Source organism: Homo sapiens, chromosome 15 (assembly GCF_000001405.40).
Source record: "Homo sapiens chromosome 15, GRCh38.p14 Primary Assembly".
Taxonomy (NCBI): domain Eukaryota; kingdom Metazoa; phylum Chordata; class Mammalia; order Primates; family Hominidae; genus Homo; species Homo sapiens.
The window spans coordinates 67,486,843-67,504,648 of NC_000015.10; the positions used below are offsets into that span (position 1 = coordinate 67,486,843).

Genomic DNA, 17,806 nt, shown 5'->3' on the forward strand with positions numbered 1-17,806 from the left:
CTACTTTTTTTGTACTAAGTCTTTGAAAGCTATGACACATCTCAATTTGTACCACTAGCATTTCAACTTCTCAGTTGCCCCATGTGGCTATTGGCTACCATATTGGACAGCACAGTAAGGGATGCAAGAGATGTACTAGGCAGTGGTTCTCAACCCTAGATGCCCATGAGAGTGACCTCAGTGAGGAGCTTTAAAGAATGCAGATGATGGCCAGGCACAGTGGCTCACGCCTGTAATCCCAGCACTTTGGGAGGCCAAGGCGGGTGGATCACCTGAGGTCAGGAGTTTGAGACTAGCCTGACCAACATGGTGAAACCTCATCTCTACTAAAAATACAAAAATTAGCCAGACGTGGTGCCATGCGCCTGTAGTCCCAGCTACTTGGGAGGCTGAGAAAGGAGAATTGCTTGAACCCAGGAGGTAGAGGTTGCAGTGAGCCAAGATCGTGCCACTGCACTCCAGCCTGGGTGACCGAGTGAGACTCTGTCTCAAAAACAACAACAAAAAAAGAATGTAGATGCCCATGCAGGGCTGCGATTAGGGTAAGGCAAGTGAGGCACTCTTCCTGAGCACAAAACTTAAGGAAAACACACACACACACACACACACACACACAACCCTCATTAATATAAGTAATATTTTAGTGCAATATTTTAACAATCAAAATTACTGCAAAAAATTCATTAGGAATAAAATATCAAAATTTTTAATGAAAACAGGACCAGATTACTGATTTTTTCCTTTGCCTTGGGCTCCAATATGACTCAGCATGGCCCTACGCCCATGGCCCACCCGAGACCAAGTAAATCAGCATTTCTGGAAGTAGAGCCCAGGTATTAGACGACTCTAATGTGCAGCCAGCGTTGGCAGCCACTGTTTAGCCACTGTCTGTACTAAAGCTCAGATTTCTTGATAAAGTGGGAAGTTGATGAGTGGTCCTAATTCTGGCATGTGATTTCTTTTACCAAAGCCCCAAAATATAGTTTCCTTTTTTGAGCTTCCAGTGATGGGAAGTTCACAACTTCACAGGGCAGGCATTTCCACTGTTGGACAACTCCAGGGTTACCTCTTATTTATTTGGAGAAAACGGTTACAAGATAATTTTCAAAGGAAAAAAAAAAGGTAAAGCCATGCCTCTCCTACAGATGTAAAAATAAACACATGATAAAGATTTTATTTAACAGAACTGCCAGGCACAGTGGCTCATGCCTGTAATCCCAGCACTTTGGGAGGCTGAGGCTGGGAGGATCACTTGAGCCCAGCAGTTCGAGACCAGCCTAAGCAACAAGGCAAAACCCTATCTCTACCAAAAAACATATACAAAACTTAGCTGGGTGTGGTGGCACATGCCTGTGGTCCCAACTACTCAGGAAGCTGAGGTGGGAGGATCACCTGAACTTGGGGACATCGAGGCTGCAGTGAGCTGTGATTGAGCCACTGAACTCCAACCTGGGTGACAGAGTGAGACCCTGTCTCCAAAACACAAAACAAACAAAAAGAGGGAACTAGGCAGATATTATAACGGGTTCAAAAGAGAATCCCAAAACAGACATCTTTATAGATCAGGAATATTGAAATTTGCACATGGAGGCAAAATAGGTTTTTCCACAAGGGGAACAGGAAAGGGAAATCAACTGAGCCTTTATCAGACTAGACAGAATTTGCTTGTCTATCAGTTACCTATACTTTACAAAATTGTAAAATATCTCCCATAGAATCAATCTGATAAGGCAGCAGGGAGTGCTATAGACCAGCAATCCCCAACCTTTTTGGCACCAGGGACTGGTTTCATGGAAGACAATTTTTCCATGGACGTGGAGGTGGGTAGAGGGAGTATGGTTTCAGAATGAAACTGTTCCACCTCAGATCATCAGGCATCAGTTAGATTCTCATAAGGAGCATGCAACCTAGATCCCTTGTTTGTACAGTTAACAATAGGTTTCCCGCTCCTAGGAGAATCTAATGCCACCGCTGATCTGACAGGAGACGGAGCTCTGGTGGTAATGCTTGCTTGCCTGCTGCTTACCTCCTGCTGTGTGGCCCGGTTCCTAACAGGCCACAGACCTGTCTGAGACAGATCTGGTACCAGTCCACAGCCCAGGGATTCAAGACCCCTGCTATAGACAACACAGTTTCCCACTGAAGTACAAATTATTTTCCACATAACAAATTGCTACCATATATACATATATAATTTTTTTTTTTTTTTTAGACGGAGTCTCGCTCTGTTGCCCAGGCTGGAATGCAGTGGCGTGATCTCGGCTCACTGCAAGCTCCGCCTCCCAGGTTCACGCCATTTTCCTGCCTCAGCCTCCCCAGTAGCTGGGACTACAGGCGCCCGCCACCACACCCGGCTAATTTTTTGTATTTTTAGTAGAGATGGGGTTTCACTGTGTTAGCCAGGATGGTCTCGATCTCCTGACCTCGTGATCCGCCTGCCTCGGCCTCCTGAAGTGCTGGGATTACAGGTGTGAGCCACCGCGCCCGGCCAATTTTTTTTGAGATGGAATTTTGCTCTTGTTGCCCAGGCTGGAGTGCAATGGCGTGACCTCGGCTCACTGAAACCTCTGCCTCCCAGGTTCAAGCGATTCTCCTGCCTCAGCCTCTGAAGTAGCTGGACCACCATGCTACTTTTCACCATACAACATTTCACCATGTTGGCCAGGCTGGCCTCCTGGGCTCACTGCAACCTCCGCCTTCCGGGTTCAAGCGATTCTCCCGCCTCAGTCTCCCAAAGTGCTGGAATTACAGGCGTGAGTCACCGTGCCCAGCCTCCCCTATATTTTTTTAACCCATCACTCTTAGAACAGTGGTTTTCATATTTTGATGTACACAAGAATCATCCAAGAAGTAAGGTAAAAGACAGAGTGCCTGCCAAGTCTTCTGAGCTTGCATGATGCCCATGAAAATGCCTTTTTAACAAGCACACTAGATGATTCTGATGCAGGTGTTGAGGATCATACTCAAAAAGCACAGTTCTAGAACATATTTACTCCAAATTCTAGAGGCAGCCTTTCCAAATGTGTTCTCATAATATCTGAAGGTAGCTCTAGATTTCAAATCAAATCAATCTTAGTAGTCTTTCTGTGCCAGTAACATTTTCTGTACTTTGTTTCTGAGATAATATACTATTTCTTTTCTCCCCATTCAAATTTTACAGGAAAGGCAAGGAACTGTTTTTATATTATATGAGCACCTGAAGAGACACAAGTTGGGAATGTTGTGAGTATGAAGTGTATCTGTGAGTTGCAATAAGCTAAGGAAATAGACAATCACAACTAACAAGAATGATGCTTCTCATGCATTTTAATCAGCATGCTGATTTATTAGAAGTCTATCTTTATTTAGATCTTCAGGTATTTTATTTTATTCTATTTTTTTGAGACGGAGCCTCACTCTGTCACCCAGGCTGGAGTGCAGTGGCGCGATCTCAGCTCACTGCAACCTCCACCTCCCGGGTTCAAGCGATTCTCCTGCCTCAGCCTCCCAAGTAGCTGGGATTACAGGTGCGTGCCACCATGCCCAGCTAATTTTTGTATTTTTAGTAGAGACGGGGTTTCATCATGTTGGCCAGGATGGTCTCGATCTCTTGACCTCGTGATGCACCCACCTGGGCCTCTCAAAGTGCTGGGATTACAGGCCTGAGCCACTGCGCCCAGCCTAGGTATTTTATAAAATGACTTTAGATGTGTCAATGGGGGTTTATAAATATAATTGATTAATTACCTAAAATTAATGGGTAAGATTTAGATTTAACAACATATTATACCCAAATGCATACACAGATAAGGCACATCAGATCTCACTGATGGGGACCCAGCTCAGTTGTCCTGCCTGTGGAAGGCAGTTGTCATTCTGGCATACTTAGAAAAGTGCTCTGTGCTCTGGTGACTTCACACGATGTCCCCCTAACAGGCAGGATCTGTAGCTCCTCCTCAGATCCAGTTTCAACCCGGGCGCAGTCTTCTCAAGGTACGCATGCACTGAGCACAGGCTGCTGGCAACACTCGGAGGCTTCCGCACTTCTCCCAGATTTCCCTCTGGGATATTTTGGAGCCTAGCAAAGCCTCCTATCTAGGACTCAGAATTTTAGAGCTACAACCTTGAGTCATCTCTTATTTCATATCTTGGCACATGGTTACTTGGTACCTTTAAGTCATCCTACCTAATTGGGAAACTGTCTCTGCCCTCTATTTCTCTTCCTTGTAACCTCTACAGCAGTGTAGACATTGTGGCCTCACACTGAAACACACAGAAACATATACACAAAGATCTGGTCTCATAAAAACTAACCAAATAAGAGCCAATTCCTCTACGAAGCACTGATGTTCCTATGTGGCCTCAGTCCCTCCCTCCCCAACCTCCCCTACACCCTACTATGGTCAGTCTCCCGGAAACTGATCCAAAGAGGTGCACACTACAAGCAAATGGCTGCATAGGACAGGCCTCAACTTCCCTATCCAAAGCATAGTCCTTTGTTCTACCAAAGCATTATCAGTTAGACCATTATCAATACAGTGATATTCACCCTCATCGATCCTTTTGAACTTAGGCAAATGTTCTGGTTTCTTCTCCCTTGCAACTAGAATGTGGCTACAATTTAATCTGGCACTTACAGTCTCAGATGCTTCCCATCACCTGGGAAGGGAAGCTGGCTGTTTTGAGTCCTCCCCTCCAGTTTCAGTCTTCCCCCAAGATCCCATAAACATGCAAAACTTATTGGGTCTTGTTAAGAAAGTCACTTCCCTAGGGACTCTTCACCCATTTGTCACACTGCCCTGATAGCAACAGAAATGAGACCTCAATCCATAACATCCCAACAAGCTTGCCTTCATCTTCTCCACCTAGGCCTTCACATCCAGAATGATAACAGAGCCAGGGACACCTCTGGGCATGTGCAGGGAAGGATCAGCCCCTTGCTTCCCAGTAACATTCTGCCCCTCAGCTCCCTCCCTGCCCCACCCTTCCTTACCAGAAAATTTGAAAGCATTTTATCAACTGTGCCAGGCACAGTTCTAGGTGCTGGGGAAACAACAATGAGCCCTGCCCTCAGGAAGCTGCCACTCTAGAGGGGTGGGCATACAGTAAACAAGTAAACAGGTAAACGTGGTCTAGTATGTCAACTGCTGACAAGCCATGAAAGGGGAGCAGCAGTTCACTAGTAGCCAGAAGATCAGAGATTAAATACTTCCCATTTCACTCTCCCCAAACTTGACACGGTGATGTCAGGGCTGGGCAGAACATAGGCCACCGGGAATTACCGGGACTAGGAGAACCAAGCAGTCATCTGGATTTGAAGTTGGCATGCATGGGAATAAGAAATTTGTATTTTCCCAACTTATGAATCGAGTTAAGCAGGCAACATTCAAGGTCCAAGTATATTTCTAAGCCCAGGAATTCAGACAGATGGGTTAGTTAGGTACAAAGAACTAGAAATCAGAACCTAGAGATATGAACTGTGTCTTACTGGGCACCAGCTGGCATGAAAGATTAACTACAAAGGAGAAGCTGGGACACGACTGGAACCAGACAAACCCTTTTGTACATAGGATGAGGCTGGGAGAGGTGAGCTCCCTTCGGGTGATGGGAGAAGAGCAATCAGACAGGCCAAACACTGGACCCAGGATTCAGATGCGTGGAGGTCATCCTGAGAAGCAACCAGCTCATACCATCAGGAAAAGTTCCAACCGCAAAGAGTAAAGGGACAACCTGAGAGCTAGGTCGTGGGGAGCTTGACCAGAGGCACTCAGAGAGGAGGCCACTTTTGGAGACCCAGGCTGGTAGGGGGTGGCATGAGGAAAGCCTTTCAGCAGGCAGCAGAGCCCAGCAGAGGCTGACACTCAGGAGCAGGACGTGTGTCCTGGAATTGATGGGATGAGACAGGGGTAGTATCACCCAGGCAGAGGCAGGGTTCCTGAAGTGTGGGCCACAGGAAGAGCAGTGCAGGTGGGTACTCGGGCATAGAGGAACCAGGCAAGAGGAAAACCATCACAGAAAGTAGGAGATAGAGGAAGAGCCTGTTTCATGAACAGAGAAACTCCCAGTCATCAAACTGACCTAGCAGCAAGGTGGATCTGATGCTGAAGCCTACAGAATTAATAATTAGACTGGTAACCAAGAGGAACTTGCCCAGCTGTCCCTACACCTGTACCTGAGATTTCAGGCAAGGATGCCTTGACCTGCAGGCTAGTTTCAATGGCAGAAATAGTCCTATTGGTGTACCTTCTAGATGGTTATTGCTATTCACACATCCTTCAGGGAGGGCACAGTTGACATGGACCTCTCGAAAGCCTTTAGTCCTTTTCTACTGTTTTCTGCCCATCTTAATCTCATCCCTAACTGCAGTCATAGAACCACAGAATGTTAGAACAGGGAAGGGCCTCAGAATTAACTGATCCTCATAGATGGGAAACTGAGGCTTAGAGAGGGGCAATGATTTGCCTGGGTCACACAGTAGGTGGTCTGTCTCCTGATCCTGAACTTGGTGTTCCTTTCACTATACCACAAAGCCTACACTGAGTGACCACCTTATATAGGGAGCCCTATAATGCTACAGGATAGTTTGCAAGCTATCTCCGAAATCTTAAAGTGGATGTTCAGGTTTATAAAGACGGCTGTTCATGAACAGGGCACATTCTCCTCTGAACATAGGCAGGACACTCTCATTAAGTGATAGGAATCACTTGTACCTGTGAAATAGAAAATAAACCCTAGACAAAAGACTCCAGAATACTGAGATGCAAATGTCTCCATAGACAAGGAAATCATTCGGCAAGGATCACACTTAGCGACAGTTCTCCTAAAGTAACTTAAACCATTTTTTTTAATTATTATACTTTAAGTTATAGGGTACATGTGCACAACGTGCAGGTTTGTTACATATGTATCCATGTGCCATGTTAGTGTCCTGCACCCATTAACTCGTCATTTACATTAGGTATATCTCCTAATGCTATTCCTCTCCCCTCCCCTCACCCCACGACAGGCCCCGGTGTGTGATGTTCCCTACCCTGTGTCCAAGTGTTCTCACTGTTCAGTTCCCACCTATGAGTGAGAACATGCGGTGTTTGGTTTTCTGTCCTTGCGATAGTTTGCTGAGAATGATGGGCTTAAACCATTTTTAAAATGAACTCGTACAACATCCTAGCTCAGTGGTAGACTTTCGCTAGAAATGACCTACCCTATTGGTATATTCTGCTAAGTTGATTAATAAAAAATATTTATTACGCAAATCCTTTTTGTTGACAAGTTAAAATGGAGTCTCATCTTTCATATCTCCCTGAAGATTGCCACCTTGTGAGATTGAAAATACTCATTAAATTCCATCACCAGACAGGCACAAATGAGAGGGCGATTGTTTTTAAGCATGTGAAGGGAATCGTTGGTAAACTCATTTGTTTGGATATCATTAACAGAACAATCGGCGAGGATCTCCAGGGGGTCCTCATGACCTTTGCTCGCCATCTCTTCATCATCCATCAAGAAATATCAGCACCTAATATGCAAGGCGAGACCAATTTTAAGGTGAGGTGTTAATTAACTAACGATTCTGGTTAATTTCTATACAAGGGCTGAAAATACCTCATGCTGTATTGTAAACAAGTGCTAAACCATCTTTTTTTTATTGTAAGCAGTACATATTTTACAGTGTGCAGGGTCAATACTGTAAGGTTCCCACTGAGGCTGTTAGTTAAATTTAATAGTTTGAAACTTTTTCTTTGAAATAGAGTTGACTTTTAACTTGCTGCCATTTTCAAACTCCAGCTCCTAAGATAGCAGATCTTTCTGATGTTGGACGTGAGTCTGAAATGTCACAATGGAACCAAAACAGAGATCGTCACAACCAAAAATTGCGAATGTTATCTATCTATATTCCAGATAATACAAGGTCTGACTAGTGATTCCTGGGAAGCCCTAGTTTCTAGAGCCAGAGAAGTTCTAAGACCCGAGAAAGCAATGTGTGTTAGGGAGAAGCAGAAAATATAGCATGTATGTGGGCCATCTACCCCACCCGTTTCTCCACCGTGGGTTGGATTATTTCACTACTAACCTTTAGAAGCCTTCTTATGACCTTTAAAGATGTTGGTCTATCAAATCCAGTTGTGTATAATTGACTAGAAGTCTCCAAACTGTAAACTACAGGAACAAGGTCTGTACGGGAGTTTCTGAAATACTGTCTGAACAGAGATGATCACGTGGTATTGAACAGCAAGGTATGAATCTGATTCCCAGCCTAGGCCTTCATTAATTCAAAGGACACAATCAGAAACCACATGTAGTTTTTCTCCTAAATGGAAAGTCCAACAAAAGCTTAATAGAAATGTAATTTTAATTACATTTTTGATTCAAGCTAGGGCCTAACTCCTTTAGTAACAGTAACAATAACAATGTGATTTTATGAGCTGGAAGAATGACCACTGCTTTCCCTACAACATGATTGAGAAGATTCAAGAAAAGACAGACCAAATGTTACATCAGTGTTCACTGGTCCTAAAGGATCTATGCTCATTATTTACTGGTTTTTGTTTTGTTTTGTTTTAAAGAGACAGGATATCTCACTGTCTTGCCTAGGCTGGTCTCAAGCTCCTGAGCTCAAGGGATCTTGTCTTGGCCTCTCAAAGTGCTGGGATTACAGGCATGAGCCACCTTGCCCAGCCTATCATTTACATTTTAAGTTCCTGCTAGCTAGTAGCATCATCTTATCTGTTAGTGCCATGTGCAAAACTTTGAGCCTCTCTGCATTTCATCCATTCAGCCTGTCCAAATATAGCTAATAATCAGAATCAGATGCTTTAACCTCAAATGCATTCAGACTAAGTTGATTCTGGGCTTGTCTCGCTGTGGGCAGAGTCAACCACCTTTGACAAAATGAAAGCTATTTCTCTGCCCTTTCTCTGACTTTCAAAATCATAAAAAGTCAGATATTCTTAGGTAGCTTTTAATTATGTCATGGTTTCTAGCCTTCTGATATGAATGTTTGTTTTCTTGATTTTTACTCATGTTAGGTCTAAAGGCAAAAACTTTCAATCTCAGTAATATAGGTACAATAACAAAAACTTGAAGCAGTGGAATAGATTCATCTTTGCTAGTATTTTCTGTCTCCTACTTAGTGGCATTGTGGTAGGTATTTTCAGTTTTTAAACAAGGATTTACCAGCAAAGTAAAGGCTAAATAAAAATGGAAGGTGATTGAGGCTGGGCACAATGGCTCATGCCTGTAATTCCAGCACTTTGAAAAGCTGAGGTGGGCAGATTGCTTGATCCCAGGAGTTCAAGACCAGCCTGGGCAACATGGTGAAACCCCATCTCTACAAAAATTACAAAAATTAGCCAGGTGTGGTGGCTCATGCCTGTAGTCCCAGCTACTTGGGGGGCTGAGGTGGGAGAATCATTTGAGCCTGGGAGGTTGAGGCTGCAGTGAGTCTGGGTGATGGGAGTAAGAATAAAAAAAAGGAAGATAATGCAGAAAATGCATTTAACAAAATGTAACATTCTTTTCTGATAAAAACATTCAACAAAGTAAAAATAGAAGGTAACTTCCTCAACCTTATAAGGACATCTACCAAAAAACCCACAGCTGACATCATAGTTAACATTGCAAGACCAAAAGCCTTCTCGCCAAGATTAGGAACAAGACAAGGGTGTCTGCTCTTGCCACCTCTATTCATCATTGTACTGGAGTTCTGGACAGAGAAATTAGGCAAGAAAAGGAAATAAAAGGCGCTGGGTGCAGTGGCCCCCACCTGTAATCCCAGCACTTTGGGAGGCCAAGGTGGGAGGATTACTTGCACTCAGGAGTTTGAGACCAGCCTGGGCAACATAGCAAGACCTCATCTCTACTAAGAAGAAGAAGAAGGAGAAGGAGAAAAGAAGAAGAAATAAAAGTAAAAGTATCGGCCGGGCACGGTGGCTCACGCCTGTAATCCCAGCACTTTGGGAGGCCGAGGCTGGTGGATCATGAGGTCAGGAGATCGAGACCATCCTGGCTAACAAGGTGAAACCCCGTCTCTACTAAAAATACAAAAAATTAGCCGGGCACGGTGGCGGGCGCCTGTAGTCCCAGCTACTCGGGAGGCTGAGGCAGGAGAATGGCGTGAACCCGGGAAGCGGAGCTTGCAGTGAGCCGAGATTGCGCCACTGCAGTCCGCAGTCCGGCCTGGGCGACAGAGCGAGACTCCGTCTCAAAAAAAAAAAAAAAAAAAAAAAAGTAAAAGTATCTCTGTTTGCAAGTGGCAAATTCTTGTAAATAGAAAATCCTATGAAGCAAGAGGACTGCTTGAACCCAGGAGTTTGAAACCAGCCTAGGCAACATAGGCAGACCCTATCTAAAAATTAAAAAATTAGCCAGGTGTGGTGGCACACACCTGTGGTTCCAGCTACTCAGGAGGCTGAGATGGGCGGATGGCCTGAGTCAGGTAGGTTGAGGCTGCAGTGAGCCATGATCTGCACTCCAGCCTGGGTGACAGAGTAAGACCTAGTCTCAAAAAAAAAGAAAGAAAGAAAAGAAAATCCTAAAGAACCCATCAACAAGTTTATAAGACATAAAATCAGTATACAAAAGACAATTATATTTGTGTAATGAATAATGCAAAAATAAGTTTTCAAAAAATTCAAGTTACAATAGCATCAAAAAGAATAAAACACTTAAGAATAATTTTTTTTTCTTTTTTGAGACAGAGTCTCACTCTGTCGCCCAGGTTGGAGTGCATTGATGCAATCTCGGCTCACTGCAACCTCTGCCTTCTGGGTTCAAGCAATTCGGCTGCCTCAGCCTCCTGAGTAGCTGGGATTACAAGCACGCACCACCATGCCTGGCTAATTTTTTATATTTTTAGTACAGATGGAGTTTCATGTTGGTCAGGCTGACCTCGAACTCCTGACCTCGTGATCCGCCCGCCTCGGCCTCCCAAAGTGCTGGGATTACAGCCGTGAACCACCGCGCCTGGCCAGGAATAAATTTAACAGAAGTGCAAGATTTTTGCAGTGAAAACTATAAGACATGGGTGAAAGAAATTAAAGAAGACCTAAATAAACAGAAAGACAGTCTGTATTCATCCAATAGAAGACAATAAGGCTAAGATGCTGACATTCCCAAATTGATCTATAGATTCAATGTAATTCTTATCAGAATCCCAGCTGGCTTTTTTGCAGAAATTGACAAGATGATCCTAAAATTCATGTGGAAACATAGGAGACCCAGAATAACCAAAATAATCTCAAAAAGAACGAAGTTGGAGAAGTCACACTTCTCAATTTAAAAACTTACTACAAAGCTACAGTAATCAAGACAGTGTGGTACTGGCATAAGAATAGAGATATAGATCAATGGCATAAAATTGAGTCTGAAATAAACCCATACATAATGGCCAATAATTTTTGGCAAGGGTGCTGAAACAATTCAATGGAGAAAAAATATTTTTTAAATAAATGGCACATGCAAATATTAAGTTGGACCTCTGCCTCACATCATATATAAAAATTAAGTTAAAATGGGCCGGGCGCGGTGGCTCACACCTGTAATCCCAGCACTTTGGGAGGCCGAGGCAGGTGGATCACCTGAGGTCAGGAGTTCGAGACCAGCCTGGCCAACATGGTGAAAACCCCGTCTTTACTAAAAATATAAAAATTACCCAGGCATGTGGCATGCACCTGTAATCCCAGCTACTCAGGAGGCTGAGGCAGGAGAATCACTTGAACTCAGGAGGCAAAGGTTGCAGTGAGCCGAGATTGCACCACTGCACTCCAGCCTGGGCGACAGAGCGAGATTCCGTCTCAAAAAAAAAAAAATAAGTTAAAATGGATCAAATATTTAAATGTAAGAGCTAATACTGTAAAACTCTCAGGAAAAAACATACGTATAAACCTTCATGACCTTGGGTTAGCAATAGTTTCTTAGACATGGTGCCTAAAGCACAAGCAACCAAAATAAAAATAGATAAATCAGACCTCATCAAAATTTAAAACTTCGTGCATCAAAGAACACTATCAAGAAAGTAAAAAGTCAGACCACAGAAAGGGAAATAATATTTGCAAATCATATATCTGGTAAGGCATAGTATTCACAATATACAAAGTACTCTTGTACTCTTACAACTCAACTACAGAAGGACAAATAACCCAATTTTAAAAGGGAGCAAAGGATTTGAATAGACATTTCTTCAGAGGAGATATGCAGGCCAACTGCAGTGCTCACACCTGTAATCCCAGCACTTTGGGAGGCTGAAGCGAAAGGATCACTTGAGGCCAGGAGTTTGAGACTAGCCCAGGAAACAGAGTGAGACCTCATCTCCACGAAAACTTATTTTTAGCTAGCCAGGCATGGTGGCACACACCTGTAGTTCTAGCTGCTCAGGAGGCTGAGTGGGGAGAATTGCTTGAGCCCAGAAGGTCAAAGCTGAAGTGAGTCATAATCACACCACTGCACTCCAGCTTTGGTGATAGAGCAAGACCTGTCCCAAAAAAAAAAAAAAAAAAAAAAAAAGATGTACAAATGGCCAATAAGTATATGAAAGAATGCTCAACATCATAAGTTATTAGGGAAATACAAATCAAAGCTACAATGAAACATTTCATACCTAATAAGATGGCTACAGTTAAATAAAAAGGCAATAACAAGTGTTGGTGAGGATACGGAGAAACCAGAACCCTCATATATTGCTGGTAAGAATTTAAAATGGTATCACAGATATGTAAAGCTTAGCAGTTTATAAAAAAAATTAAGTATAAAATTACCATATGACCCGGCAATTCCATTTCTAGGTATATGTCTAAGTATATTGAAAACATGTTCACACAAAAATGTGTACATTAATGTTAATAGAAGGAATATTCATAATAGCCAAAAATTAGAAACAACCCAAGTGTCCATCGACTAAGAAATAACTGAATTTTATTATATTCTATGGATAATATTTTATATAATGGGATATTATTCACCTCTATAAAAGGAATAATAAAGTACTGATCCATGCTGCAACATGGACGAACCTTGAAAACATTATGCTAGGTAAAAAGCCATTCACAAAAGGTCACATATTGTATGGTTTCATTTATATGAAATGTGCAGAAGAGGTAGATCCATAGAGACAGAAATAGATTAGTGGTTGCCAGGGGCTGAGGGAGTGGGATGAAATGGGGAGTGACAGCTAATGGGGACAGAGTTTCTATTTGGGGTGATGAAAATGTTCTGGAATTATATAGTAGCGATGGTTACTTGCAAATATACTAAAAACCACTGAATTGTATACTTTATAAGGGTGAATTTTATGGTATGGGAATTGTACTTCAATAAAATATAAACAAAGTAAATGGGAATGTGTCATTTTTTTCTTCCCAGCAACCAATGGAAAGAAACCTTCCCATCAGCCTATTAGCCCTCATTTTAGGGTGACTAGACCAATGCTTCTCAAATTATCCATAATAAGGAAACTATTTGTTTTGTTTTGATTTTATCTGACTATCATGGATCAACATTTTTAACAAAATAGAAGAAAATTTAATTACTAGAAAAATACGATTAAAAAAATTAAAGATGTACAATTTAGAAGCCCAATGTTATTATTAGACATAATAGGCATAAAAATTCTAAAAAGTTTTCCAAATTCTTACTCTCAATTTTTTTACTCATTTCAGCAAGACTGGTAAGCCATAATCTGTAGACAAATGCCAGTTGGTAGAATACATTCTGAATAGAACTGGTCTAAACCATGGTGAACTCCCAAAAGGACCAGATGCTTGGGGGAGAGGGATTGTAAGAGGTCTTTAAGTAATAAATATTGTCTTTATTTACAGACCACCATTGCTGATATTGAAACTATTCTAAGAGTAACAAAGGAAAACAAAATGAGATTTGAAGAGGAGCAACAGTCCAAAGATGATAAAAACCTCTCTAAACCCAAGAAATGATCCTGGAATACAGTACATAACAATTTGGATCCCAGTCTGGAATAAAAAGGGCAATTTTTTTTTCTGTTAGAAATAAAAGCCAGGGGAAATTGGTTTGCTTTGTGTGCTAGGAGGTGAATCAGAACAGATTATAATGAAATGCTCTTTTTAAAACATTGTTTATTAAGTGATCTTATTTTATTTATTAAACCAAAACTTATTTGTGTTTTCATTTGAGAGTGTTGAACAATCCCTTCTTCTTCTCAAACTCAGAAAAAAGTAATCTGATAAAAGAAGAAAGTTAAAAGTCTTACTGATATCACCTCCGCATTTACTTCCTCATAGGCCTCAGGATTATGTAGCTTTTATTTTTTATGTTTTATAAAGTTTTCTCCTATTTCTAATAGTCCATCGATCTTCTGCATTTATAGGTTTGAATAAAGGCTTAAGAATTGCTATTTGTCAAAACACAAATGCCTTTTTTTCAAAGCTTCAAATTATATTGAAATTATATTTATATGAATTTTTAAGTGACTATCATTCATCGTGTTTTTGTTATACCAAGCCACTATTGTCTGCTATTGTTGCCATTTTTCAAAAAGTAGGATAAGCCAGCATCTAGTTAACCAAAGCATCAGAATGTATCTAGGTGGCAGTATCTGCTCTTAGTTTAAGATGGAGTGTAGCTCGAGCTCTGTAGCTTGAATAAACATTTGTATTCTCTAGTTCTCCATTTAATACAGCAGTAGGATTTTTTCAAGTTTAGTTCAACATTATACTACCTTTAAAAAGGCAGACTGTTAAGATTGTAGTAGTGCTGACTCTAACTTTCAGCATTCACTTCATAATTGTCCAAAAATATTTCCACATCAGTGAGCTTTACTGAAGGGTGAAATAAAAGCAAATTACAACACCAAAACCATTATTGTTTTAAAGAATGACCTTTATGTCTATAAAAATATTTTAGTGTATTGGGGAAAGGAATAGGATTTTTACCTGTGGAATTTCAATAATTTGTTAACTGTGATTCAGCCACAGGCTAAGAGTTTCTGTAATAAAATTAACATTTGTGTGTGTCAGCTTTTGTTTTGCTATAGTTGGAAATACATTAATTAGCCAGGTTTCCTGCCTGTGCTAGGTACAACACTGACCTCTTTTTCTTGCCAGATCTCTCTAATCCATTCGAGGGGCCCATTGTTCAGACACTTGACAGATAGGAAGTCCTACATGCCCATTAGAGCCGCGCCTCGACTGAAGCCAGAGCAACATAAGGTCCAAGAGACTCATTAGTTCACTGGCACAATCGTGTCCTGAGAGTAAATGAAACCCTCTGTCTCCTTATGGCTCTCATCTGCTCTGGACTTTAAAAGAAAACTGTCTCCGTTTTGTTCGGCACAGTAGTGGATCATTCACATGGTGAGAGCCCCTGCTTAACAGTACAAAACTGTTAAATCTATCGGAAAGTTTTGCATGTGAATTTTGATTAGCACTCCCGAAGCTCAAGCTGCTGGCAATAGCGAAACGATTTCGCCATCCTACACCATTGTTTTACCCACTTGATTGGTTTCTCAAACAATGCCACTTTCCTCCTTTGCAGCTATCATTTGCATATACCACAGAATTCAGACCTGTGAAAGTGATTGGGAGCAGGGTTCTCTACGTAAACATCTACAGCTTCAAAATTAAAGGAGAAAAATTGGTATAATAAAACAATCACTTCAAGTAATTAAGTGGAAGAAGCCAGAGGACCAGATTAAATTAGTGACATGTTTTAATTACAGAACATTTGAAAAGAAGCAATAGTCCATTATCTTTTAACACATATATGTTACATAGATACTGTGCTCTTGGTAAACTAAGGCACGTTTCAAAAAAGAATCATTTATATGTGTACAATATCTAAAGTATCCTAAATATAATTTAGTCACGATGAATTAATTACTGAGCTTTTGCTCTTCTAAATAGGAAACCGAAATATTTGGTGGCAAGAGGATTTTGGGGAAATGATATACCGTTTTCCAGGAAGTTTTTGGGAGAAGCACACATTAAACAATAGAGGTGTCTTTGTATGAGAAATGACCCATTATTTAATGTTGAATGTTTGCAGTGGTTGGAGAGCATTATTGGATATAAGTATCTCCCTTAATATATTACCTATTTTATATGGACTTTAAAGAAACCAATGAGATTATAATATTAAATGTGCTACTGCCCACCTGTGCTGCCTACCTATTTAGTGACCTTTCCGTAAGCTACTTACAGTTACCTATAGAACAAACTGGGGGCTGGGGATGTACTGTGCTGGAAGCTTCATATACATTATTTGATTGCATCTTTCCAAAAACTCCACGCATGTAGGTACAACAACTGTTCTCATTTTATATATGAGGAAATTGAGACAGAGTGTCTCACCCTATGTCTCAGGCTAAATGAAATTTGGGATTTGCTGTCTTTTACCACAAATTCCAGCATGTTGTACAAAGTAGAGGGTTTAGTTTCACTTGTCCCAGATCATCCAAGGGATTTGCACATTTTTAGAATAACAAATTCTGGTGTGTTGCTTAAAACATAGAAAAAAACAGATTAACTTATGCATACTTCCTGCTAATGAAATGAGCTTGTACAACTGACAGCATGGCAAGGCACTGCAATTATGTGATCAAAGTCAGAAGAAAAAAATGGTGTCAGTGGAATTCTCCTATGGTGATGGATCTGTAAGACTGGTGGAGAATGATGTTGGAAAGGCGTAGAATTTGGAAGCTGGGAAGTCATGCCCTGAAGTTTCGAGAGATGGGTATAAGGTTAAGAAATCGTAGAAGCATTGGGAAAGGCTTCCAACAAAATGTAGAATAGCCTGGAAGGAGTTTGGGGAGAATTATTTCAGCTATGTCATCCTAAGAATTGTAAGCGTCCTATTTTTTAAGTATAAAAATACGTATTTTATCACAAGTAATATGTTAGTAACCATCTGATAGCTTTAACAATTAATAATCATTTGTATTCATTTGGCACCTTTCTTCCAAAGAGCTCAAAGCACTTTACATTTGTTATCTCATTAATTCCCAACACTGTCCCTGTGGGAAGGTAATAAGTATTTTAACATTTAAATGTTTATCTTTCAGAATTTCTCAAGCATACATTAATTATATTTCCAAAAATGTAAATGTTCATTAGTTTTATTTTACTGTTCCTCTGGCTTTAATGTGCATAACAAATTTGTGCAACTCTTTAAATGTACTAATCATGGTAAATCCCATCTGGAAAACCGTAAATGAAGTTGCCAAGATAATGTGAGGGTGGCAGCTGGGGGACGGGGGAAGCATTCGACTACACTTTTCTCGCTGGAAGAAGTTTGGATCAACCCATCGCAATGGGCTCTTCTGAATCTTCTCCACATATCATTCCTTCCAAGAGGTGTGCCACAGGAAGCTCAGGACTGCATCTAAGAGCTTGAAGCCGATAGAGCTACTATTTATACCATTGTTTTATTAATGACTTCATCAGTGGGGAACAGAAACTTGAGGCATGCTGTTAGGAATTACATCCCAAAGAGTCACAGAATAATAAGGGCCAGGAACTGGTCTCCCCAGCCCTCTCTGTCTCGGGCCTGGTCATACTTTCCTCAATTTTCTAAGTAGAAAAATGGCAGAGCATATAGTACCTGCTCCTCAGGGAAGCAGTCGAGATGAATTGGCCAATGTTGGGAGAGTGTTTCAAAGATGAAGCGTTCTATATAAATGTTTAAGTATTATTATTACATGGCTACTTCAAATGGAAGTTCTAACTTTGAAATGTGATTATACACTTTCCAAAAAAAAACCCTTCATAACTACATATATAGGTTTATTTTTCACTCTAACAGTCTAACTCATGGTTGTGAAACTTTATTGCAGTTGATGGAGGGCCTTGGCTTTTATTAGTTT

At 41.2% G+C, this 17,806-nt stretch overlaps 1 protein-coding gene and 2 long non-coding RNA genes across 13 annotated transcripts in view, besides 1 other annotated feature; 1 reads left to right on the forward strand and 2 right to left on the reverse strand.

Annotated features, from left to right (window-relative positions):
- Window positions 1-14,962, forward strand: part of IQCH (IQ motif containing H) — a 247,019-nt gene extending 232,057 nt beyond the window's left edge. For 8 of the 10 annotated variants that reach the window (NR_147832.2, NM_001031715.3, NM_001322475.2 and 5 more), the window contains 3 exons: window positions 3,161-3,222; window positions 7,416-7,524; window positions 13,791-14,962. Coding sequence is in view for 9 of the 10 variants with exons in the window: in NM_001031715.3 (NP_001026885.2) it covers window positions 3,161-3,222; window positions 7,416-7,524; window positions 13,791-13,904 (285 nt within the window). In the remaining variant the exon portion in view is untranslated. The remainder of the gene's footprint in view (window positions 1-3,160; window positions 3,223-7,415; window positions 7,525-13,790) is intronic. The other 2 variants (NM_001284348.2, NM_001322473.2) reach the window with 1 other exon arrangement.
- IQCH-AS1 (IQCH antisense RNA 1) overlaps window positions 1-17,806 on the reverse strand; it is a 118,234-nt gene that overhangs the window by 83,232 nt on the left and 17,196 nt on the right. The gene's annotated exons all lie outside the window — the stretch shown is intronic.
- On the reverse strand, window positions 7,203-8,585 carry LOC124903511 (uncharacterized). Its single transcript, XR_007064686.1, has 2 exons — window positions 8,051-8,585; window positions 7,203-7,803 (listed from the first exon to the last, which is right to left on the reverse strand). It is a non-coding gene; the product is annotated as an uncharacterized LOC124903511 (long non-coding RNA).
- Window positions 15,053-15,227: a silencer, noted in NCBI's record as "fragment chr15:67794233-67794407 (GRCh37/hg19 assembly coordinates)". NCBI's record gives its function as "represses an EF-1alpha promoter that drives an FKBP-Casp9 reporter gene in an ReSE screen in phorbol 12-myristate 13-acetate-treated (for megakaryocytic differentiation) K562 erythroleukemia cells {active_cell/tissue: K562(+PMA)}" and the evidence as "EXISTENCE:reporter gene assay evidence [ECO:0000049][PMID:32094911]".